At 58.6% G+C, this 23,263-nt stretch overlaps 1 protein-coding gene and 1 long non-coding RNA gene across 2 annotated transcripts, besides 9 other annotated features; one reads left to right on the forward strand and one right to left on the reverse strand.

The window, feature by feature from the left end:
* Nucleotides 45-339: an enhancer, noted in NCBI's record as "tiled region #246; K562 Activating DNase unmatched - State 4:PromP". NCBI's record gives its function as "activates a minimal TATA promoter and a strong SV40 promoter by Sharpr-MPRA in K562 cells {active_cell/tissue: K562}" and the evidence as "EXISTENCE:reporter gene assay evidence [ECO:0000049][PMID:27701403]".
* Nucleotides 45-797: a biological region, named in NCBI's record as "Sharpr-MPRA regulatory region 246".
* Nucleotides 138-797: a silencer, noted in NCBI's record as "silent region_744". NCBI's record gives its function as "represses an Ori minimal core promoter by ATAC-STARR-seq in GM12878 lymphoblastoid cells {active_cell/tissue: GM12878}" and the evidence as "EXISTENCE:reporter gene assay evidence [ECO:0000049][PMID:35858748]".
* On the forward strand, nucleotides 502-22,658 carry FOXO6 (forkhead box O6). The gene is given in 3 exon segments (NM_001291281.3): nucleotides 502-1,412; nucleotides 20,684-21,276; nucleotides 21,278-22,658. Coding segments are annotated over 3 exon segments (1,479 nt in total). The 5' UTR covers nucleotides 502-998; the 3' UTR covers nucleotides 21,750-22,658.
* Nucleotides 998-1,217: a silencer, noted in NCBI's record as "silent region_745". NCBI's record gives its function as "represses an Ori minimal core promoter by ATAC-STARR-seq in GM12878 lymphoblastoid cells {active_cell/tissue: GM12878}" and the evidence as "EXISTENCE:reporter gene assay evidence [ECO:0000049][PMID:35858748]".
* Nucleotides 5,324-5,383: a silencer, noted in NCBI's record as "silent region_746". NCBI's record gives its function as "represses an Ori minimal core promoter by ATAC-STARR-seq in GM12878 lymphoblastoid cells {active_cell/tissue: GM12878}" and the evidence as "EXISTENCE:reporter gene assay evidence [ECO:0000049][PMID:35858748]".
* Nucleotides 5,934-5,983: an enhancer, noted in NCBI's record as "active region_864". NCBI's record gives its function as "activates an Ori minimal core promoter by ATAC-STARR-seq in GM12878 lymphoblastoid cells {active_cell/tissue: GM12878}" and the evidence as "EXISTENCE:reporter gene assay evidence [ECO:0000049][PMID:35858748]".
* Nucleotides 9,644-10,543: an enhancer, noted in NCBI's record as "H3K27ac-H3K4me1 hESC enhancer chr1:41836248-41837147 (GRCh37/hg19 assembly coordinates)". NCBI's record gives its function as "activates a minimal SCP1, AML or CMV promoter by ChIP-STARR-seq in naive H9 embryonic stem cells {active_cell/tissue: H9 hESC(naive)}" and the evidence as "EXISTENCE:reporter gene assay evidence [ECO:0000049][PMID:30033119]".
* Nucleotides 10,544-11,442: an enhancer, noted in NCBI's record as "H3K27ac-H3K4me1 hESC enhancer chr1:41837148-41838046 (GRCh37/hg19 assembly coordinates)". NCBI's record gives its function as "activates a minimal SCP1, AML or CMV promoter by ChIP-STARR-seq in naive H9 embryonic stem cells {active_cell/tissue: H9 hESC(naive)}" and the evidence as "EXISTENCE:reporter gene assay evidence [ECO:0000049][PMID:30033119]".
* Nucleotides 14,072-14,737, reverse strand: FOXO6-AS1 (FOXO6 antisense RNA 1). The gene is made up of 2 exons (NR_135817.1): nucleotides 14,593-14,737; nucleotides 14,072-14,320 (listed from the first exon to the last, which is right to left on the reverse strand). It is a non-coding gene; the product is annotated as an FOXO6 antisense RNA 1 (long non-coding RNA).
* Nucleotides 21,305-21,354: a silencer, noted in NCBI's record as "silent region_747". NCBI's record gives its function as "represses an Ori minimal core promoter by ATAC-STARR-seq in GM12878 lymphoblastoid cells {active_cell/tissue: GM12878}" and the evidence as "EXISTENCE:reporter gene assay evidence [ECO:0000049][PMID:35858748]".
* Nucleotides 22,659-23,263: the final 605 nt, after the last annotated feature.

The following is a 23,263-nucleotide window of genomic DNA, read 5'->3' on the forward strand; positions in this document are numbered from 1 at the left end:
AGCAGAGTTCGATCATCCTCCCTGTCAGAGTCCTGGAACGGAGACTTGGGAACGTCAGGAGTCTACAAACAGAGGGCGGGGCAGTCCTCTCCGGAGTAGAAGGCGGGGCCAGTGCCCTGAGCCCCGCCCCATCCCGTTGCCCCGGGAAACCCCGGGTTGTAACAATAACCGGTGACGCGCTTCTGGGAGGGATCCTGTCGAGCCCATGGGCAGGACAGTCCAGCCGCGGACCAATGGGAGTGTTAGGGCTCCGCCCCCTAGCCCCCCCGCCTCCGCGCCGAGCAGGGGGCGGGGTCGCGCCAGCCGCTCCGCCCCTGCTCCGTAGGCGGCGCTGTTGCTTGCAGGGGCTGCGGCGGGGTCGCCCCGAGCTGGGAGCTCAGCGCCCGGTCTCCCAGCCCGCGGGCGGGGCACCTGGGCTGGCTGAGGATTCCGCGGCCGCAGGCGAAACGCCCCGCCCCCTCCCGCGTCGGGCCCGCCCCCTCCCCGTCCCCCGCCCATCCCGAGGTGCAGCCGGCGCTGAGCGCGGCAGGCGCGGGAGCTGGCGCTGGAGCCGGAGCGGCGGCGGCGGCAGCATTCACCGGGCGGCGGCGGCGCGGGCTCCGGCACCGGCTCGGGCTCCGGCATGGTGCAATCCGGCCTCGTCCCGGGAGAGCAGGGCCCGTGCGCAGGGCCGGCGCCCGGGGAGCGGCGGCAGCGGCGGTGGCGGTGGTGGCTGCAGGCGCAGGCAGGCGGCAGGTGCTAGAAGCGGGGCTGGGCGAGGTGTGTGCCCGCTGGGCTCCCGGGCCGCCGCCCCCTCACTGCCCAGGTCTTTCCCTCCCTTCGTGCTCCCCAGCGCGTCCAGCCCCCTGCCTCCGCGCCTCGGCCCATGGCGCCCCGCGGCTGAGACAGCGCCGCCAGGGACCCCTCCCGCGGGCCTCCCCGGGGCGTGCAGATCCCGGAGCCGCCCGCCCACCCTCCGCGAAGCCTCCCTCCCCTCCTCGCCCGAGCCGGGCGGGACCATGGCTGCGAAGCTGCGAGCGCATCAGGTGGACGTGGACCCGGACTTCGCGCCGCAGAGCCGGCCGCGCTCGTGTACCTGGCCCCTGCCGCAGCCTGACTTGGCCGGCGACGAGGACGGAGCGCTGGGCGCAGGGGTGGCCGAGGGCGCCGAGGACTGCGGGCCGGAGCGCCGGGCTACGGCCCCGGCGATGGCCCCAGCGCCGCCCCTGGGCGCGGAGGTCGGACCGCTGCGGAAAGCGAAGAGCTCTCGGCGGAACGCGTGGGGGAACCTGTCCTACGCCGACCTCATCACCAAAGCCATCGAGAGCGCCCCGGACAAGCGGCTCACGCTCTCGCAGATCTACGACTGGATGGTCCGTTACGTGCCCTACTTCAAGGATAAAGGCGACAGCAACAGCTCGGCCGGCTGGAAGGTGGGGGCGTCCGGCTGGGGAGGGGGCTGGGGACGCCGACTGGGGCTTCCAGGGGCTGCTAGGTGTGTTGGGCTCCAGGAGGGCCGTCAGAAGGAGGGCTTTTTGGCACCCCCCGGGGTCACAGAGTGTGCGCCCAGGGCGTGGGGCCGGCCAGCGGACGGGCGGGGGCGTACTGGGAGCAGCTGTGTGCGTGCTCCCTTGCGGGGAGGGATGCGGGGTGGGAGGTCTGGTAGGGTGACAAGGGACTGCCGCTTTGAGGCGTCCCCGAGGCACGTCCCCACCCTGTCCTTGGGGGCATAGCAGAGGAACCCATTCCCAGGCCGCGGACATTGGGGAGCCTCCCCCTCCTCCCCCAAGTCTGCTTTGTGTGACTCTTGTTTTACCCTTTCCACCAGGGCACCCTTCTTAGAGCGCTGGAATAATGACTTGGGGCCAATGCCGGCTTTCCCTCCCAAATCTCTATCATTGCGCTTCCTGGAGCTGTCCCCAGGGTGAGGAGTGTGACCATGGGCCCACAGTTCTTCTTGTGGTGCCAGAGTTCACCCTAGGGCACCAACCAGCCTGGAGTGGGGAACTCGGCAGGTGACCTGAGATCTGAGTTCTCCATGGGGTGGCTGCTGCCCCCCTTACCTAGATCAGGATGGGGGTCACTGGTGATGGCCCCTGCTGGTGTGAGGACAGGGTGTTGAGAGCTGGGGATCTGTCCATACCCACCCAGGATGCTTTTTTCCACTTCCCTAGCTGTCGGAGCCCAGATCCATTTAGGGGCTGGGGGAGGGGCAGGGTACCCCAGGGAGGCCTCAGTGCCAGCCAGTGGAAAGGGGGGAGCCACCTTAGGAGGGGACAGGGGCTTGCTTGGATTGTGGCCTCTCGACCCAGCTCCTCCCCTGGCCATCTTGTTGGAGAGTGGGGATAGTCTATGCCTTTGGGGGAGAGGAGGCTGGAGACCCCTCCTGTGCCTAGGAGGCGAACTGTCAGCCTCCCTATGGGAGGAGTGGCCTCTGTGAGGGAGGCATGCCTATGTCAAGGGAGGGGGCTGTGCCCTGTGGTGCCTGTGAGCTGGGTCAGAGGAAGGAGGTGTGCCAGTGGAGGAGGGGAGACTTGTGGGCATGAACAGCTCTAGATACCCAGGGGCAGCATTGTAGAGCCAGGGTATCCTGACCTGGGAGCCCATGGCTCTCAGGGTTAGTGCTGGCAGCTTCTGTCCCTCACCGGCCACTGTGGGGCAGGAACACAGGCTGGAGGAGTAGACCTGGGTCTCTTTCCGCATCCCCTCTCCCATCCCCTTGGGCTCAACCCCCACCAGAACACATTTCCCCCAAGTGTGTCCTGCACTCCCCATGCCCTGGCTTACTCCTCCCTGTAGATGTATTCACTGTCCTCAAGGGTACAGAGTTCAGATGCCTCCTCCAGGAAGCCTTCCCTAAACCCTTTTTAGCTAGCTTAGGACTCCCCTTTCTCTGGCCCTCTCCCTGCTGGTAGCAGGTTTTAGTCATTTGTGTTCTGTCTCATTTCCCCTCTCTACCCTGCTTTTGGAAGACAGTGGCAGTGTCAGAACCATTCTGTGCCCACAGCACCCAGCATACAGTCTTGACACCAAGAAGCCACCAGTGTGTGTCTAGTGAAAGAGTAGGGAACTGAGTGGATGGTGCAGGATGCTGAGGCAGGGGACAGTACATTGGGCCAGAGTGGCTGGGAGGGCTTCTTGCAGGACATGTAGCTCCAGCTGGGCTTGCTGCATCAGGCAGCATGGGGAAAGATGGGAAGAGGGAACATGAGGCTGGAAGTAAGCAGAGAACTGCAGTTCATTGAAGGTCTTGGGGCCAAACACTGTGAGAGGCACCTTGACACATCTGCCTTTAACGCTCTCAGCAGTCCCTGAGGTGGTTTTACTGTGACCAAATGGTCTCCCTCCAGGGTCTCCAAAGCCGGCATTGGCCCCAGGTACAAGGAAGGCCCTGAGGCCCGTATTTAGGAGTGAACTGGTCACACAGTTAGTAGATGGGAAAGCTGGAATCCAGCCTACATGTGTCTCCCTCCAGGGTCCCCAAGCACCTCTGGAACAGTGTCCTGCTGGCGGGGGGGTGGGGGGGTGGGAGGGACACACTGAAGGCTTTGAATATGGGCAGGTATAAATCCTAAAACGTGATTGAGAATATGCTTGGAGATAGTTTAGACCCATGAGTTCATTTCCCAGACGGTGAGACTGAGGCCCTGGAAGGGGATAGGAGTCTTGCCACCGGCATCACTGAGCAGCAGGCCTTGGATGAGGGCCCAGGCCTCCCGCCTGCCCATTGGATGCGGTTTCCACAGCACCACACTGCTAGGGACACACCGATTCTCCCTGTGCCTGGGCTCCCAGTCACGGGCTGTGTGTTGGAGAGGGAGCCTAAGGCGTGGGCTCCTGACCTAGGTTTTGGCAGAGACCACCCAGGCACTGGAAAGGGGCCTGCCTGATGCTGTCCCCTTCCACTTCACCCTCTACCCAGCTCCCCAGCAAGCCTACTTCCCCACTTATTCCTGGAGCTTCCTGCATGGTGCCCTTCCCCATTCCCAGTCGTTTCCTCCAGAGGCCTGGTGAAAGAGCCGTCCCAGCTCCCAGCCAGGCTCAGGTTGACAGACAGAACACCTCAGGTGCCAGGCCTGGGGCCAGGGCCCACTGTTCTCTCCTCATTCCCCTCCCCTACAAATATACTGCAATTGAATCCCTGGGGTGTACCAAACCCTGTGTTAGATGGGGCAGGGGACCAAAGGAGAAGGCATTAATTGGATCTATTTCAGAATAATCAGGACTTAGCCAGTTCCACACCCAGGCTTGTGTTTTGTAGATAGGAAAGGCTGGGGATGGGGGTAGGGAAAGGTAGGGGAAGGGGAGTTAGATACCCTGGGGGAGCCAGGGAGGTCCTCACAGAGGAGGTGGCACTTGGACTGCACTGCCTTCACTGGGGAGGGGAGAATTTGGGAGATAGTCTTCCAGGAAGTATTGACTGCATTCCCAAAGGCAGGGAGGTGAAATTGTGCATGTCTGATTTGGGGACAGTTTGGGTGTGCCAGACTCAAACCAAGGGTGTCCAGGCAAGACAGGGAGGTGGCATGGGAAGGGTGGAATGGGCCAGATCAGGAAGGGATGACATGCTTAGCCTTATCCCTGTGGTCACACCTGTGATGCAGGGAGGTGGCTGAGTGGTGCAGGACAGCAATTGGAGAAGACAAGACCAGCAGCAGGCTTGGGGACACCCAGACTATGCTGAGGCCTAGAGAGGCTGGGCTCATTGCTGGGAACCCAACCAAAGGGGCTGGTCATGTTCCCCTCCAGGCCTAGGATGGGGGCTTGGATAGGCGGTGCCTCTACAGCGTCCCAAGACTGAATATCCAGGTAGAGCCTCCTACTTTCTCTCAGATGCTCCAGTCTCACTTTCCCTTGGCCCTGGACTCCTCTGGGAAGCCTTTCAGGCTGCTCTGAGTTCTGGCACACCTTCCACTTAGTGCCCCTGGAGTTGTTCTGCCTGCTTTTGTGTTTCCTGGCTGCCAGCTCCACTGGGAGCTCCCAGGCCAGGCCTGGGCGCCTCCCATTCCTGTCCCCAGAAGGAGCACTCTGGATGGGAACTTCCCTTCTCTCCCAGGGGCTGGGGCAGCCTGGGTGATGAGAGGTGGGATCAGGAGGGGTGGCACCACCCCCATCTGGCCCAGTAAGTTCCAGGTGGGGTGGGGCTGGAAGAGAGGGACTCATCTGAGAGGGTGGGGGCAGGGTCCTGCTACAGCCCTGAGCAGTGGCTGTCAGCTGAAGCCACCCGCTTCCTCTCCCCCCAGCCTGCTCCAGCAGGGCTCCCTCCTCCTCCTTTGTCCTCCGGGGATCCCCAGCCCCAAGGGCTGATGGGGGTGCGGGAGGAGGCGGTGTGAGCCCCGGTTGGGGGGTGTCCTCACCCCCCTCACTGCATGAGCGGGGGGCTGGCAGCTGCCCGCCTCCTGGGCACGAGCCCGTGCCAGCCGCTCCTGGCACAGTTGCTGGCACGCCCGGCAGACTCCCACGACCACCTGCTCACACCCACCCACGAGCGCTGGCGCGCTTCGGGCCCTTCCGGCTTCCCGGGCCTCCCGGCGCCCCTCCCCCGCCGCCGTGCCCAGCCCCCCCACCCCGCTCTGCTCCCCGCGGACCCCCTCGCTCCCTTCCGGCCCCACGGCGGCCGCCCCCGCCACACCCCCCGCGCAACTTAGGGAGCTGAGGAGGCGGGGCTCAGGGAGGCCCCTGGGGCAGCCACGCGGCGGGAGAGGAGGGGGCCTGGAGGCAGACAGACCGACAGACAGGGTGAGGGCCCCGCCTGCCACCTGGCGCCGCTCCAGCGGGACGATGGCGGGCAGCGCCGTGCCAGGCGGTAATTGCAGACAGACTAATTTAAAGAGATGAGACGGTTATTTTTAACTCGCGTTAAGGTAATGAACGGCGCGGGGGGTTTGCGGGTTCGAAAGTTCAGCGCCCCCAGCCCCCACTTTCTGCGGGTCTGGGGGGCCCCTCTCTGCACGCCCCGAGGGCTCCAGCCAAGGGACTGACTAGAGGGAGCAGGGAGGTTGAGGAACTGGAGAGGCCCTGCCAGAGGGGCGGAGGGCTGAGGGGGCCGTGACAGAGGCGCCCGCCGGTCCAGAGCACTCCCATCAGACCCTCATCGCCACCCAGGCGGGCTGGCACCCCTGTGTTCCAGGTGGGGAAGTGACTTTCCCTGAGGTCGCTACCTGTGAAGTAGTGGACCTGGGAATTGGACCCCAAGCTCGAGCTTTTTCTGTTCCATTGGGTAGGATTGAGGTGGGGCAGGGGCTGGAGGGAAGGGCTTGTTTTCGACTCTGAAAGGCTTCAGGGCTTGTTCCCTGCCGCCTACCTTCCCTGTCTTTGAGTGGCAGCTAGTGGTGACCACCACATGGGGTCCTATCTGTGACTTGTAAGGGTTGAGGGGTAGTCAAGTACTGGGTGGGATGTGGGTGCATCAGCTACAGCAGGGGGAGCCCCTTCCTCACCTCAGTTTCCCTTACCTCCCAGCAGACTCACTAGATCCCCTTCCCAACTCCCGTTTACCCAGAGTTGGGGGTGCCTCGGAAACAGGAGAGGGTGGGGCTGGGCCTGCCTATGCATTGGTGCCTGCTCCCTCACGTTCAGATCAGACTTGGGTTCTCCAAAGAGCTGCAGAGTCCTGGAACCCAGTCTCTGCACCCCTGACTCCTCCCCAGCTCAACCCCCTCTGACACACTCCCAGCGACTGGAAACTCACCGTCTCTGGGATTGCCCATTCTGTTGCTAGACAAGTCTTTTTTTTTTTTTTTTTTTCTGAGACAAGGTCTCACTCTGTCACCCAGGCTGGGGTGCAGTGGCAGAGATCACTGCAGCCTCGACCTCCTGGGCTCAAGTGATCCTCCCACCTCGGCCTCCTGAGTGACTAGGACCATGGGCACAGGCCATCCCACCTGGGCTAATTTAAAAAAGATGTTTTTGTAGAGACAGGGGTCTTCCCTATGTTGTCCAGGCTGGTCTTGAACTTCTGGGTTCAAAGGATCCACCTGCCTCAGCCTCCCAAAGTGCTGGGATTACATCGTGGCATGAGCCACCATGCCTGGCTGCTAGGTGAGTCTTAAAGCTTTTAGGACTTATTTCCTTCTCCCCAGCAGTACCCCATCCCCTTTCAGCATCACACAGGGTTTTCTAGTCCAGCCCTTTGGTGTCATTTGGAGTTAGCTGTGGAGTCAGGAGTAGGTGAGGGGCTGGACAGAACACCTACCTGTAGGGAACCTGATCCATTGCATGTGTGAGCTGGAGCAAAGTTCTCTCCCATTCTGGTTCTCAGTGTTCTCATCTGTGTCCAAAGGGCCTTAACTCAGTCTCTTACCGGTTCAGTGCCGTAACTGACAAGCACACTGGTTCTAGGAGCCATGAGGGGTTCATTGGAAAGAGGGCACATAGTACTGAGAGGACTTCTCCCAGGTGGACACATGTGAGTACAGGTGTGGGTGGACTTGACTTTGGGACTCCTGTTTAAAGATGCCTGTCCTGTCTGTGGCAGTACCCAGGTGGCAGATATGCTCTGGGTACAATGAAAGGAGTGTTTATGGCAGTTCCAGCTGGCCCCCAGAGCAGGCAGATGGGGGTTCAGGGTGTTGGGTGGGCATGAGCTCAGGCTCTGGGACCTGGGTAGGGTTCTCAGGGGGACAGCTGGATCTGGAGCACCCCCCTTCTCCTGGCACCCTGGTTACCATAGAAACCAACTCCTGTTTGGGAGGGTTTGGCTGTTTGCTGCCTCTCCCCACCCCCCAACCCATATGTGGAGGTGGGAGGGGGGCCAGGTGGCGTGTGGGGGACACCCTCCCCCAGGGGCCTCCCTCTTTGCAGAGAGAAACCTTTCTGGTCTCTAAGTGGGGGTGCTTCTTATGGAAAGGAGAAAGAGAGGTAAGAGAATTAATGTTTGGGTGCTAGGCAGTCAGTTGGGCAGTTCACATAAATTCTCTCATTTCATCTTCCCTGGATCCCTCTAGGTACACATTAATAACCCCATTTTGCAGTTGAGGAAACGGAGGCCCGGAAAAATGAGGTCATTTGGCCAAGGCAGCATAGCTGGGACAGGCGGAGCCTGGATTTAGCCGCGGACCCGTCTGTCTCTGCCACATTTCTGCATCTCCCCATGCTGGTGCTGTCAGCTCCACACGCCAGCCAGCCTTCCTGCCCCCAGGCTCTCCTGCTCCAGAACCCTCCTGGGCTCCTTGGTTCACCTGGAAGTCAACCAAGTACCCAAACTGCTCTGCTGGGACCCATAGGCCCTCAGCCCACCTTGTCCAGGCCCTGCCCTTCCTCCCACTTTTCCTGCTTCCTCTGATCTCAGGTCGCCCTGGCATCTGCACCTTCACACCTGACACTGGAATTCTCAACCCACACCCCACTGCCGTTGTCACACGGTCACCAAGGCACCTATTGATTCTCCTTGGCTGATCCCTCGGGATACCCCTCAGAAACTAGGTGGGGTCTTGGGTGGTTTGAACAAAGCCCTACCTTCCAGGTGATTCTGGAACGCAACACTTCTGATTGAGAATTCCTGCCTCAAGTCCTTAGTTGTTTGCAAACCTGGCTGATGATCAGAGTCACCTAGAAGCTCTGACAACACAGGCTTCCAGTCCCCAGCTCAGATCCTCTATATCAGCATGGGCTCTGGAATCTGTGTATGGCTGGTGACAGGTCATTCTGAACTGATGCCTTAGAGGGTGGTTTCCTCACCTCCTGCCTGTCCCCCTGTCTCTTCCTCCCAGCATGGACCAGCTTCTACTCCAAGCAGGCTGCCCAGGTTGAGGCTACGCCCCTCTTCCTCACTCCTTCTGGGTCCTCCAGAGTTCTGAACCCCATGCAGTCAGCACCCAGGGACTGGGCCACCACGTCAGCATCATGCAGCCACCCCATGGCTTAGAAATCACACTGTATAGGACATGGATGAAGAGAATGGAGCCACAGCCAGGGCTGATATGCTTTGCTACTAGGAGCCTTTGCTGCAGGAGGGAGGGAGCCCCTGGGGACAAGGCCAGAGTCTGTGTGGTTGTAAATACTCAGGAAGCCTCTCTGGAACTGGAATGGTGAAGAAACTAAAAGTCACAGCCGGGCGTGGTGGCTCACGCTTGTAATCCCAGCACTTTGGGAGGCCGAGGCGAGCGGATCATGAGGTCAGGAGATTGAGACCATCCTGGCTAACACGGTGAAACCCCGTCTCTACTAAAAATACAAAAAATTAGCCGGGCGTGGTGGCGGGCACCTGTAGTCCCAGCTACTGGGGAGGCTGAGGCAGGAGAATGGCGTGAACCCGGGAGGTGGAGCTTGCAGAGAGCTGAGATTGCACCACTACACTCCAGCCTGGGCGACAGAGCGAGACTCCGTCTCAAAAAAAAAAAAAAAAAAGTCACAGCCCCTGCTCTCAGAGAGCAGAGAAGAGGGAGAGAAGAGGGTCATGTGTATAGCTGCTTAATCCAGTCCTGGGGCCTTAGTAGGACACTTAAGGCCTGGCCACCAGCCCTAGTCAACCTTTCCAGCCACCCTCCCATCTTCTGACCCTTGCCCTAGCCACACTGAACTATTCCAGCTCAGGATTCAACCTGCCATGTGCCATTACGTACATTCTTTCATTTAATTTCCCAGCAACCCTGTGAAGCTGGTAGGGTTACTTTCCCCATTTTGCAGGTGAGGAAACAAAGAATGAGAAAAGTAAGCAGCTTGAACAGTACCCTACTCTAAGTGGCAGAAACGAAACTCTCCAGGACTAACTCCACCCTAGCCCAGGGCTCTGACCTTCCTCCCCTCTGCCCCTTCCCCCTCCCAATCATTGTCTCTCTGCTATCCCTTGGAGTTTGGCCCTCAGGCTTCTGGCCTGGGGAATGGCCCTGGGGTCCCTGGCTCCCATTCCCAGATAGAGAGCACCCTGAAGGTGGGGGCAGACCAGCCTGATGTTCCCCTGGTCTGCAGCCCCCAGGGCTGAGGCAGCTCCCTCCATTCCGTGATCCAGGGCTACATCCACTGGGTACCTATTATGCAGGGCTGCTGGGTGGGGACTGGACTAGCTCCTTGACCTTGAGATCCCAGCCTGCAGGGGTCAAGCTAGGGAGATAAAAGGAGGACACTGACTCTGATGCAGGGTAAAACCTGCTCAGGGTCATGATGGAAGGCCAGATAATGAGCTGAGTGTTTGGAGGTAGAAGAGGGGAAGGGAGACAAAGCAGACAAAGAGGGTCAAGGCCTCAGGACTGTGTGGGGAGCCGCAGAGGGTCTGGCTGTGCTTATGTGGGGCCCAGCAGGCGTTGAAACTGGGAAAGCAAGTGAGTGGCCTTGAAGAGCAGCATCCCACGCTCTGGGCTTCTCACTGCGAATTCTCCATGGGAATGACATGGGCAGAGGTCACTCAAGGGTGCTGTGGGGAGTGGACAGGAGGGAGAGGCTGGCCCAGGTGCCCAGTGTGGGCCTGCTACTGGGGTCCAGGGGAGAAAATGAGCCTGAGATAGGGCAGAGGCCCAAAGAGTCCCAGATATCAGGCCTGGCATAGGCAGCACCCCTTGGTGCCTTGAGAATCCCTTAGGTGAGGCCAAGCTGTGTGGTTAGGAGTCTTGGAGGCAAACAGGCGGGCATAGCCTAGCTCTACTTACCCTCTGCGTAGCCTTGGGCAACTGAGCCTCAGTTTCTTCCTCTATAAAATAGGATAATAATAGGGTCCTTCCTCTAATGCTTCCCTTTCTTGTCCCTGAGACCGAGGTGTCAGATATTCAGGATGTCCAAGTTCCCTCCTGCCCTTAGGTGGGCCCACTGCTTTCTAGCCTCCAGAGCCTTCTCCATAGCCTTGGATGACAAGCAGGACAGGTTTTAGGCACCCCATTTTCACAGATGAAGGACATGTCTTGTTCAAGGTCACCCTTGAACCCAGGACTGCCCGCCCCTGGACATTGGCTCCTCTTTGCCCCACTGGCAAGCTGTGTGACCTTGGGCATGGCCCTTCCCTCTTTGGCTCTGAGTTCCCCTCCCCCAACACTCTGGGAAGCTGTGAGGCCTCTTCCTTCTCTCTCCTGTCCCCTCCCTCTGTCCTCAGCTGGCCTCCTCCTCCTCCTCTTGTAACCTGAGCTGGGGCCCTGGGGGAAGGGGCTTGCCCTCTTCCTGAGGCACCTGCCAGCTGAACAGATGTGCCGAGATGGAGGGCCCCGGGAAGGGATTGAGGGCTCTTAGCCAGACAAGGCTGGGGCCGGGGCTGGGGGAGGCAGTGCTCAGCACATCCTACCCTGGCCTCTGGCCTCTGCCCCTAGGGCTTACTCTGATCACTTGTTCATTTTCCAGTGGACATTTGAGTGCTCCAACATGTCCTGCAAGGACCTCTCAGTCTCTAGGAGAAGACAGATGGCAGATGAGGGCTGGTGCCCCGGTCTGGGTGGGCCGCCCTGGGCTCCTGGAGCCCCTTGGCATGGGGACCAAGGGCAGCCCCTGGGGGCAAGGCCAGTGTCTGTGCGGGTGGCCATGCCCCTGGGAGAGCAGATGGTTCTCTTGGCACCATGCCCACTCTTCCTCTTTCTCCCCCAGGAGCCAGCCTGCAGGGCTGGGGCACAGCTGCTGGGCCCTCCCCAGAGCTGGGCTCAGGGCAGGGCTGGGTGAGGTCACTGCAGCTGCTCCCAGGGCCTGGGGCAGGGGAGTGGGGAAGTGCTGCCTGCAGAGGGAGGGAGGGGCTCAGACTGAGAGGGGAGATGGAAAAGTCTGAATGCTTTGCATTTAGGGGTTCTTTTTAATCCCGAATGAAGGAGGGTCTGTGAAGGGGTTGCTGAACTAGTATGGAGAGTCCCCTTGCCCCTACCCCAGGCTCACGCTGGAGCTTCTGCTTGGCTTTGGCTCCTCTCTGGAGGTCTCTCAGGGCAGGAGAAAGAGCAAGGGCCCTGGGTGTAAATTCCTGCACCACCACTTACACTATGCGACCCTGGGCAAGTCAGTTTGTCTCTTGGAGCCTCAGTTTCTCATCTGTAAAATGGGGACAATAAACCAACCAGAGGGTTGTTACAAAAATTCAATGAGATAATTTTCGAGTGGCAGCACAGGGCATGGCATGTGGTCAATGTCTCAGAAGCAGTAGTCCTTCCCCACTCACTGCCTCACTTTCCCAAGGAGGCAGGAAGTACTGGGGTCAAGTAAGGAGGTGGCAGAGGCAACAGGAGCTGCAGGAGAAAGCAGCAGGGAGGAGGGTCAGACAGGACCCTGGTAGAGGGTGGGCAAGCCTTGGAGCTCTGGCCTGAGATTTTGCTGAACAGAAACTACACAGAAATGCCAGGCATGAGCAGCTCGTGGCTACTGAGGGCTCCATCCTATCTCTTGACTTCTCTTGAGCCAAGGATTGCCCCACAGAGTTCGAGTAGGGAGGCCAGCTCAGACACCACTTTGCTCTGGTTTGCTGTTAGATCTCTACAGGAGCACTAAGGTGGGAGCATCTATCTTTGGGGCTTGCATAGGGGATGAGGAAGGTGCCACAGAGCTAGCCTTGATGGAGGAACAGGAACTGATAGAGCAGAGAAAGGGACAAGAGTAAAGGGAACAGTGTGCAAAGGCACAGGGATGGGGACATCCAAGGTGGTTGGAGGCCCAGATGGCCCTAAGGGAAGGGGGCGATGAGGCTGGAGGACATCAGAGGGCTCTTTAGTATCAGCCTGGTTTTGGACCCAAGCCCGCAGGTGACAAGGACGAATGGGCATTGGAGCAGTGTGAGGTTGGACTTTCGTTGGTGGTTTATTTGCTGCCGAGCCTGGGTGTGTGGGCTCTGCTTTCTCTGGGGGGTGCCAGAGCCTCATGCCTTCCTTTGGATATTGGTTCCTCCTGGCCCCAGGCTGCCCACTCTAGGATCCGCTGCTGATCCTGAGCCCACTCACCTGGAGACATCTGTGTCCCATGGTCCCCAGCTGCCCTTCTATCCCTTCTCCACTGCAGACCCTAGTGCCGAGGATTTGCACATGGCCTCGGGTCCCTGGCATCATCCAGGTCACATCTTTTGCCAGGAAGAGGCCTGGACTGAGAACCTGAACTTCACCCCAGATGGCAGGGCAAGTGACTCTCAGGGTGTCTGTGGCTCTGTCTGACACAGGTGTGTGTTCCTAGGCCAGGCTGGGGCCCCAGAGTTGGGTGGGGGCAAGGGGTAGGATGGGGAGGCTCCTGGGGCTCTGAGACAGGGATGGGATGACATTCTTGACATGTGAGGTTTCATCCAGGTCCCATATGTCCCTGTGGATGCTGGGATTGTTATCTTCGTTATAGTGGAGGCCCACTGTCACATGGATGAAGTTGGGATTCAGTCTCCTGTCTTTGACCTCTCCGTATGCAGGAAGGAAGGCCAGGAGGGAAGGAGGAAATGGGAATCATAGAGGGGATCAGAGCCCTCACCACAGCCCCACAGGAGGTCACTGCAGTAACAGGTGCTGGGTCATTTTCCCCATCAGGTAGTCAGGGTCAGTCTCCTGAGGGAGGGGCTGGGCTGAGCCTTTGACTGTGATGCAACCTGGACAGGCATCCACACCTGACCTTGGGCTTGGGCTGTGATGGGTGGACACAAGATGCAGGGCCGCACTTGGATCCTGAAAGACCCCAGGTACCAGGGAGGCCAGGAGGTAGCACAGGGTTGGTGGTAGGTGGGGGCACAGTCCTTGTCCCCTGTCTCTGATGAAAGCTAGGAGAGCTTGGGCTTGAGCGTCAAGGTGGAGATGGCCACTGGGGTGGACAGCAGAGTGTCCCCTGCCACATTAGGGGTAGGTGTGGGAGAGCTCTGGCTTTGGAATCCAGCAGCCCTAAGACCCAAGCCTGGCTCCGTCATTTCCCAGCTTTGTGGCCTCAGGAGTCATTTAACCCACCTGAGCTTCAGTTTGCCCCCTTTGTAAAATCGCAGTACCTACTCACAGGATGGTTATCAGGATTAAAGGAGCCTAGCCTATGTTAGGCATGTAGTAGGTGGTGCCCTTCTCTGGCTTCAGCATTTGAAGCACATGCCAGTGGTGTGCGAGAGCTGGTTTGCACTGGCTCATGAGGGCTGATCGTGCACACTTCTTCCCAATTCTGCACTCGGTGACGTCATGTGGCAGTTTAAAATTGGCTATGATGTGAGTATCCGTACCACAGAAAGCAGCAACAGCTACAAATCAAATCAGGTAGGTTTTTTTTTTAACTTCCAGAAGAGCTGGTGGTTAAACATTTGCCAGCACACCACTAAATGTGCCCCAGAAAAGGTAACTTCCCCTAGTCCCACTGCCCAGGATCAGAAGAAGATGGCACAGAGATGGCCAGGCAAGTTGGCTCACACCTGTAATCCCAGCACTTTGGGAGGCCGAGGCAGGAAGATCACTTGAGGTCAGGAGTTTGAAACCAACGTGGGCAACATAAGAAATCCTCCTCTCTACAAAAAATATAAAAATTAGCCGAGTGTGGTAGCGCACACCTGTGGTCCCAGCTACTCGGGAGGGTAGGGCGGGAGGATCACTTGAGCCCAGGAGGTCAAGGGTACCATGAGCTATAATTGCACCACTGCACTCCAGCCTGGGTGACAGAGGGAGGCCCTGGCTCTAAATAAATAAATAAATAAATACCCTGGCAAGAAAGAAAGAAAGAAAGAAAGAAAGAAAGAAAGAAAGAAAGAGGAAAAGAAAAGAAAAGAAAGAATGAACGAACCTGGCTATAAATAAATAAGAAGATGGTACAGCAACCATGAGTCCATGTCCCAGAATCCATCCTGTGGGCCCTCTGTAGCCATGGTGGGGACAGAACAGGAGGCAGGGCAATAGTGGAGTTCTGGCTTGGCCAAGCAGCCTAGAACTCAAAGTCCATGGCCCCTTCTGGGCCTGGAGAAATTGGATGGTTATAGCACCAGGCAGCCCTTGTGGGTGGGGGACAGCAAATGAGGGACCTCTCTTTTCTCTACACTCTCCTTTGGCTCCCGGAGATCTGGCAGGCCCTGGCTGGAGGCATAAGATTAGATGAGGTTGAGCTGTTGGAGAATGAAGCTGTGTTGGGAGAAGAAATGAGGTTGTACCGGAAGATCAACGAGGTTGTGCTGTCAGGGAATGAGGTGGTACTTGGGGGCAAGGTGAGGCTGCATTATTAGATAAATGAGGTTGTACTGTCAGGGGATGAAGTGTACTTGTAGTAGAGATGACGTCCTGCTGGATCAGTCGGCTTTTGCTCCATCAGAGAACACAGCCACACCACAGGAGGAAGGAGAGTGTCCGACTCAGAGGATAAATGAGGGTGTCCTGCTGGATAAATGAGGGGGCCCGTCAGGTGAATGGAGTGCTGTTAGCAAATGAGGTTGTACTTGCTGGATAAATGGGACTGGTGTGCTGGATAAATGGGGTTGTGCTGTCAGGTGAATGCATTACTGCTCGTGGGTGAAGGGCATCCTGGGAATAGATGAGGGTGTCCTGCTGGATAGATGAGCTGCCACCACCAAATGGATCAGACCCTGTCCATGAGGGAGGCACCATCAGCAACGACGAGGTTATCCTGTTCCCACTGGGGCTCCTGGAGCGTCTTCTGGCCCAGGGGAGACCTCGGTGTGTGCCAGCCCTGGGTTATCCAAGTCTCTCTGGGGAGCAGGGTGGGGGGCTGGGGAGGGCAGGCAGCTGCATTGTGCACCGTGGGACCTCTCCTTCACCCCCAATGGATGCCCTACTCCTCTCCCTGGCACCCCTCAGTGGGTCAGACTGCTTCGGACATTCTCACCCCACTGCCTGCTTCTCATCCTGCCTGTGTCTTCTTTCTGCCCAGTTTGGAAAAGCCCCTATTATGTGTCAGCCACTCTGCCCAGTCTTATTTAATCTCCCTACAACACAGTATTACTCCTCCTTGCACATACACACTTTCTCTTATTCATTCATCCATTCATTCATTTGACAAACATTTAAGTGTCTAGTATGTACCAAACACATGAGGTACAGTTTTAAAAAGGATAAAAATCACTGCCCTCATGAAACTTATATTCTAATATAAAGATAGGATAAATAATGTATTAATTTAGAATGTGAAAATGCTTTAGAAAAACATAGAGCAGGATCAGGGGGCCAAGAAATTCCAGGGAAGAGGAACAGTTTTTAAGAGAGGTCAGGATGGGCCCCGTTCCAAGAGATGGCATCTGAACAAAGACTGGAAGGAGAGGAGCGATCTCTGTGGATATCTGGGGGCAGGCGGGACCATGCCTGGCAGGTTTGAGGATGGGAGGGAGGGATGGAGCGGGGTACCTGCATGGTCACTGTGGGTCTTGTGGGCCATGGCAAGGCCTTTGTTCCTCACTGTGAGTGAGATGGAGGGTGTCGGAGGGATCTGGGCAGGAATGGACGTGATCTCGGTTATTTGAAGGGTCACTCTGGCTGCTGCGTGGAGTGCTATAAGGAGGTGAGGGAGGGAGCAGGGAGCCATTTGAGGAATGGAGCTTGAAAACATCTTGCCCCAGGGTCATAGCACTCACAGGTGATGGGGCTGAAACGGGGAATCCAGTTCGAACGCTACAGCTGATGTACTTTGCCCTACTCTAGCCTCCTCCCTGGTGGGGGAATCCCTGGGGGCTGGGCTCCCTGGCCCAGGTTCTGAAGGAGAACGGGGTAGGCATGAGATATAACCCACTGTCCTTTCCCTCTGCCCCCAGATGGTCTCCCTCGGGCCCTGAATCAGGTATGTCCTGACTCCCCTAGCAACATGCTCCAGGTCTGGATGTAGGTGTGGGAGGCATGAGGCCCCAGAAGCTGGGCCCAGCTCTGGGCACCTGGGGAGCCCGGGCATGCCAGGGCTGTGGCTGTGGTGGTGGGTTGCTAGGCGACTCTAAGAGGGAGCCCTGGTTACTGCTGCCTGGCAGAGGCATCTCCCTCCTCTGCCTCTTTCACCTCCTCCATGGCCTCTGGCCTCCCAGGAGGCCTTGTGGTGTGAGCCAGAGCTGTGATCAGTGCTTGCCACTGGATCTGGCAGGGAGCTCTGATTGGTACCAGGTGGCTGGGCCCTGAGGAGCCAGACTGGGCTGCAGGGCCTGAGCTTCTCTCATGGGGCACAGCCCTGGAGCATACCTGGTTCAGAGCCCAGCTCAGCAGTCAGAGGCCTAGGTCATCGCTCAGCTCTGAGCCACCTTGTCTGACCCTGAGCAAGGCATGGCATCCCTCTGTGCCTCAAAGACCCCATCCATCTGGCCTGCAGAATCCTCCCCAGGAGCTTCATTTTCTGTGAAAAAGGGTGCTGAGTGCACAGGGATCCAGGTACTCCTGTCCCCACCACCATTGGCTTGAGTGTGTAACGCTTAAGTTTTGCACTAAATCTCATTTACAGAAAGAGTTCCCCTATTTAAGAAAAATGTTTGAAAACCTCTGGACTGAATGATTCTAAGGATTTTCATTGTCAAACTGAAAAGGTTCCCAGAGTACAACTTGCCCATCTCCTTAGTTTATAGTTCAGGACACTGAGGCCCCCAAAGAAGGAGAAACTTCATCTAGGTCAGGCTTGGTAGAGTGGGAGGAACACGGGGCTGGGGGTCGGGAGGCCTGGGCTCACATCCCTGCTCTGCCACCAGGTCTCGGACAGCCTTGGGCAAGTCCTTTCTTCCCCATGGGTTGGGCCAGCCATGGTTTCAGGCTGAGGCCTGAGCTCCAGGGGTACCTGGCTGGATATGGGACAGAGCAGGGAAGGATGCAAACCTTCAGAGGCCTGGAGCTTGTCTTGGCGGTAATTCTAAAACATGTGAATAATGTGTATAAAGAAAATGTGGGTGGATTATGAAGTCTATGCAAAATTTCCTTGAAGTCTAAAAAGGAAGCTTAGACTTGCAGGAAATTTTGACCTGTGCAACATGCCCCCAGACTTCCCCTGCTGCCAGCTTCTAGGGATGGTTTACATGGAAAGTTTGAGGAGCACTGGAATACTGGCTTCCTAAGATTCTTTGGGATTCTCAGACCTGTTTCTGTCTTCCATGGCAGAATGTGATATCCTTTAGACTTAGAATAAGACCAACCTGTAATCCCAGCACTTTGGGAGGCCGAGGCGGGTGGATCATCTGAGGTCAGGAGTTCAAGACCAGTCTGGTCAACGTGGTGAAACCCCATCTCTACTAAAAATACAAAAATTAGCTGGGTGGCAGTGGCACGCACCTGTAATTCCAGCTACTTGGGAGGCTGAGGCAGGAGAATCACTTGAGCCTGGGAGGCGGAGGTTGCAGTGAGCTGAGATCGTGCCACTGTACTCCAGTCTGGGCTAGAGTGAAACCCTGTCTCAACAAAACAAAACAAAACAAAACAAAACAAAACAAAACACCAACCTGAAATCAATACATGGCACAGCACTTAAGCTGTGTGACCCTGGTAACTCACTTAACATCTCTGAGCCTCACTCTCCGGTTATGAGATAGGGATCACAATCCCTGACTTGTGTGGAGTTCATCTAATGATTACATTTGATAAAGTACTTAGAGTGCCCAGGGCTGAATGGGCAAGCGCTTGCTAGGTGCTGGTACCTGGTACTGTCCTTCCTCCAGGACATAATGACATTGATAAAGAGGTGTTGCCTGAGTGACCTCCAGCTGGAGAAATGGGGAGGTGGGAGGTGGAGCCTCTTGTAAGCCAGACAGTCCTATGGGGGAGGAGAACTGAGGCCTCCTAGGAGGCTGAACACAGGTGTTGGGGAGGGGCTGGGGAGCCAGGTGCAGGGGTGGGAACAGGAAGGGGGTATCTACTTGAGGGAGCACTGCTCCCTGGGGGCCCAGCTCCCCTCCCCTCAGGGTCTCCAGAGAACCAGGCAGGGCAAGGCTGGCAAGTCCCAGCTGTTGCCTTCAAAGGCCAGAAAGTGCCAGAGACAGGGAGCCTGGGGCCCTGAGGAGTCAGATCAGTGCCTGGAGCTGGGGGTGAGGGGTGGGAGGGTACCCTGGGCAGCAGGAAGGACCCCTCCTCCAGGAGACTGGTGGGAAGGAGGCAGGAGGGAGAGCCTCACAGAGCAGTGGCTGTGAGTGTGGCTGGGTGGATTCACAGGTTAAGAGCAGGTCCATGAGCTGGGCAGAGCTGGAGTGGTACCGGGCATCGTTGCCTAGCTGTGGGGCCACGGGAAGTTACATCATGCCTCTGGGCCTCCGGTCCCTAGTGTATGAAATTGGAGAATGCCAGCTTCCCAGAGTTGTTGGTGCCCAGCACAGTTGCACACAAGGCATGATGTTAAAGAGATGGAAACAGCAGGTCTGTTGGGGGACCGAAGGGGTGAGAGCTTCTGGCCAGAGTGAGGATATAACCAACGTTTATAAGCACCTGGTGTGCAAATACTTATTCATGCACATGTAATGATCTTACAGCCTTAAGAGGTAGTTACTGAATGTAGCCCACTTTTTCAGAGTAGTTCACTGAGGCTCACAAGAAACTGAGTAAACACCCCATGGTCACATAGCTAGGCAGCCAAAGAGCCAGGCATCCTGTCCCACCCTCTGATACCCAAGCCCCTGCTGTTTCCATAGCAGTACCTGGACCAGGAAGTTGAGGCCACCAGGTGGGAGGCCCCAGAGGTGGGGTGCCGCAGGCCCAGCAGAAGTTCTACTCCAGATTCCAGTGGGGCCAGTGGACTTCCTGCCTTCCTCTGTCCTCAGAACAGGCCTGGCAAAAGCAGGCAGTGACATGGGGAGCACTGGAGACTGGCACAGCAGAATTAAAAAGAGGATGTATGGAGAGATGGCAGAGGTGAAGCCCAGGGAGGAACCGAGGGACAGCAGAAAAGGCCACCTTGGGCAAGCCATTCCTCTCTCTGAGCCTAGGTCTTCTGGCGTGTGAATGGGGACTTTGCCACACACTGTGGGGATTTTGAGAAGGCTCCAACAGCAAGGGGCTTGGAGGGCAGGCAGGTGGGTCAGGAGAGGAGGGCAGGGTGCAGCCCAAAGGGCAGGCAGGAGAGCTGGGCTGGCCTGAAGGTGGGCACTGAAGAGGGTGAAGGCTGAGGTCTCTGTGGCAAAAGGATGTCTTTTGAGGGGCCTGCTGGAATCCAAACCCTCTGTGGAGTTCACAGCAGCTAAGAGGAGTTGGGGTGATACCTCCGAAAAGTCTCAGGCCTGGACCCACCTTGGGGACCCCAGCCTACTCTGTTTCCCCTGGCCAGGCCCTCCCAGCAAAGGGTTAACAGTCTTCTCTACCTGCAGTTGCATTTTAAAGACACGAAATTAAAGCAGGTAATTTATTCTCCCCACACACGAAAGAGCAATTAGTTCTAAACAGGGCTTAATCAGTCACCGCGAGATTGATTTCTGGAGCCCTGGGTTTTCGGGCTCCTGGCGCCACGCCAGGCTGGAGAGGGAGGGGGGCGGACAAATGAGCCGCGGCGGCATAAGCCCTTACGTAATCTGCTGGGGGCCCTGGCAGCCTGGTTAGCCCCGCGTGGGGCTTGGCTGAGCTGGGGAGACGGGGTCCTGCTCCCTGCTGCAGGCCCCCCGCAGGCTCAGAGTAGCCCACAGGGTTGGCCATGCCCCCAGGGAAAGGCTAGGCCCAAAGCTGTGGCCTCACCCTCTGGGCAGTCTCTGTGTGGGAGTGGGGAGGGATGGGGGGTGCAGTTCTGGGGCAGAGGGTGGGTACTCTGGGTTTGTCCAACCCGGTACTTACACCTGTCCCCTCCCTCTCCCAACCCCCTTACCTCATCCTCATCCCTATCTCCCTCCTCCTCCTACACTCTCTTATCCTCCCCCTCTTCTTTCCATCACGTCCCCTCTCTCCCCATGGCCTCCTCACCCCCCGACTCCCACCCGCGTCCTTGTCTCTGGCCACAGAACTCCATCCGGCACAACCTGTCGCTGCACACCCGTTTCATCCGCGTGCAGAACGAGGGCACCGGCAAGAGTTCGTGGTGGATGCTGAACCCCGAGGGCGGAAAGACAGGGAAGACCCCGCGGCGCAGGGCCGTGTCCATGGACAACGGGGCCAAGTTCCTGCGCATCAAGGGCAAGGCGAGCAAGAAGAAGCAGCTGCAGGCGCCCGAGCGAAGCCCGGACGACAGCTCCCCGAGTGCGCCCGCCCCGGGGCCGGTGCCTGCCGCAGCCAAGTGGGCCGCCAGCCCCGCCTCGCACGCCAGCGACGACTACGAGGCTTGGGCCGACTTCCGCGGCGGCGGGAGACCCCTGCTCGGGGAGGCGGCCGAGCTGGAGGACGACGAGGCCCTGGAGGCCCTGGCGCCATCATCGCCGCTCATGTACCCAAGCCCCGCCAGCGCGCTGTCGCCGGCGCTGGGCTCGCGCTGTCCGGGTGAGCTGCCCCGCCTGGCCGAGCTGGGAGGCCCGCTGGGCCTGCACGGCGGCGGCGGCGCGGGGCTGCCCGAGGGCCTGCTGGACGGCGCGCAGGACGCGTACGGGCCGCGGGCCCGCGCCCAGGCCCGGCCCGGTGCTGGGTGCGCCGGGGGAGCTGGCGCTGGCGGGCGCAGCCGCCGCCTACCCCGGCAAAGGGGCGGCCCCGTACGCGCCGCCCGCGCCCTCGCGCAGTGCCTTAGCCCACCCCATCAGCCTTATGACGCTGCCCGGCGAGGCGGGCGCCGCGGGCCTGGCACCGCCGGGCCACGCCGCCGCCTTCGGGGGCCCGCCCGGCGGCCTCCTGCTGGACGCTCTGCCGGGGCCCTACGCTGCCGCCGCCGCCGGGCCGCTGGGCGCCGCGCCCGACCGCTTCCCGGCCGACCTGGACCTCGACATGTTCAGCGGGAGCCTCGAGTGCGACGTGGAGTCCATCATCCTCAACGACTTCATGGACAGCGACGAAATGGACTTCAACTTCGATTCGGCCCTGCCTCCGCCGCCGCCGGGCCTGGCCGGGGCCCCGCCCCCCAACCAGAGCTGGGTGCCGGGCTGAGGGCCGCCTCCCGCCTCCGGGCGCCCCGTCCCGTCCCCAGGGGGCCTCTGTCTTCCCATCCTGATTCCCGGGTCCCTGCCCCCGACTCTAGCTCCCCAGGAGGCGGCCCCAGCCCAGCTAGGGACCCCTCTCGGAGGCCGGCCGCCGGGGAAGGGGAGGGAGGGGCCGGGGCACCCCACTGCTCCTGCCCACACTCCTGAGATCCACCCCCTTCTCCTGGGCAGGAAGCCTGGGAGAGGAGGCTGAATTCCAGGCTGGCTGGGAGTAGGGAGGAGCGGGGTGGGCCGCCTGGTGTGGACGGTGGTCGGGGAAGCCAACTAGGAGATGGGCCAGGGAGCGTTTACAAATCTTCAGTTTCATTTGCGGAGGCCTAGCCGTGACCCCGCGCCCACCCCAAACACGGATCTGATTCCCACTTGACACACTTTCCCACTGGTCTTAGTCTCACCCACCCGAAGCCAGCAACCCTCTGCGGAAAACTCACACCTACCTATATCCATCCACCCTGAGCAGCCCTCCACCCCCAAATCGCCCTCCGACGACCGCCACCCCCACAGTTCAGTCTCCCCCTCCCATCCCTGCCGGCCCTCGCTTCTCCCCTCCCCCGTCGGAGTCAGTCCCTCTCTTCAACCGCCCCCACCCCCTAGTACTGGTCTCAGCTTCTGCAGCGGGCCTCAGCCCCGTCCACCCCCAACCCCGACGCCCCTTTCTCCGCGCCAGTTCTGGCCCTTCTCCCATATTTATAAGTGTCCGGCCGGGACGGGCGGTGGGCGCGGCGTCCCCGGCGCGTATCGTAGGCAGTGTACCGTGGCCGTGCCGTCAGAGTGTGCGTGTGCGTGTGTGCCGTGTCGAGGCTGTGTAGAGTGCATTGTACAGCATATTTTCATGAATAAAATTGTTTTAAATATTTCCCGCGCCTTGGGCTAGAGGAAGGGGAGTGGTGGCGGAGGATAATTGACAGGGAACTTGGGGCAGGGGGAGGGTTCATGTGCCTGAGTCACTATTGTGGCTTTTTGTCTGGGTACTCGTCAGCCTTTGCTAAACTAATGCTCCTCTGCCCGGCACATATTGGTTAAGCGCCTACTGAGTCCCCCGTGCTGAAGATGTGCTTCGTCGAGCTCTGCACCTGTTTCTGTGAACATGTGCATGCACGAAGTTTTGGCCCAGGAAAATGCGTCCTAAATAAGCCTCAGAGATTGGGAGAGGATGCACAAATATTTACTGAGAACCTTTAGTGCCAGGCTCTGTGTTGGGCACGATTTTTGTTCCCATTGTACAGATGAGAAAACAAGGTCAGAGAGAGAAAATGACTTGGGAAGGAGGGTAGAGATGGTGAAAAGAGATCCCTTTGAGGTGCACAGACTGCTGTTGGAATCCATTTTCTACAGTTTGCCAGCTGTGTGACCTCGGGCAAATTTTCAGCCTCTGAAGCCTTGTCTTCCTGGACTACACCATGGAATAGTAGCATCCATCTCATGAACTTCTGTCAGGCATGAGGAAAGGTATGGAAAGTG

The sequence above is a fragment of the Homo sapiens genome, chromosome 1 (genome assembly GCF_000001405.40).
Source record: "Homo sapiens chromosome 1, GRCh38.p14 Primary Assembly".
In the NCBI taxonomy this organism is placed as follows: Eukaryota; Metazoa; Chordata; class Mammalia; order Primates; family Hominidae; genus Homo; species Homo sapiens.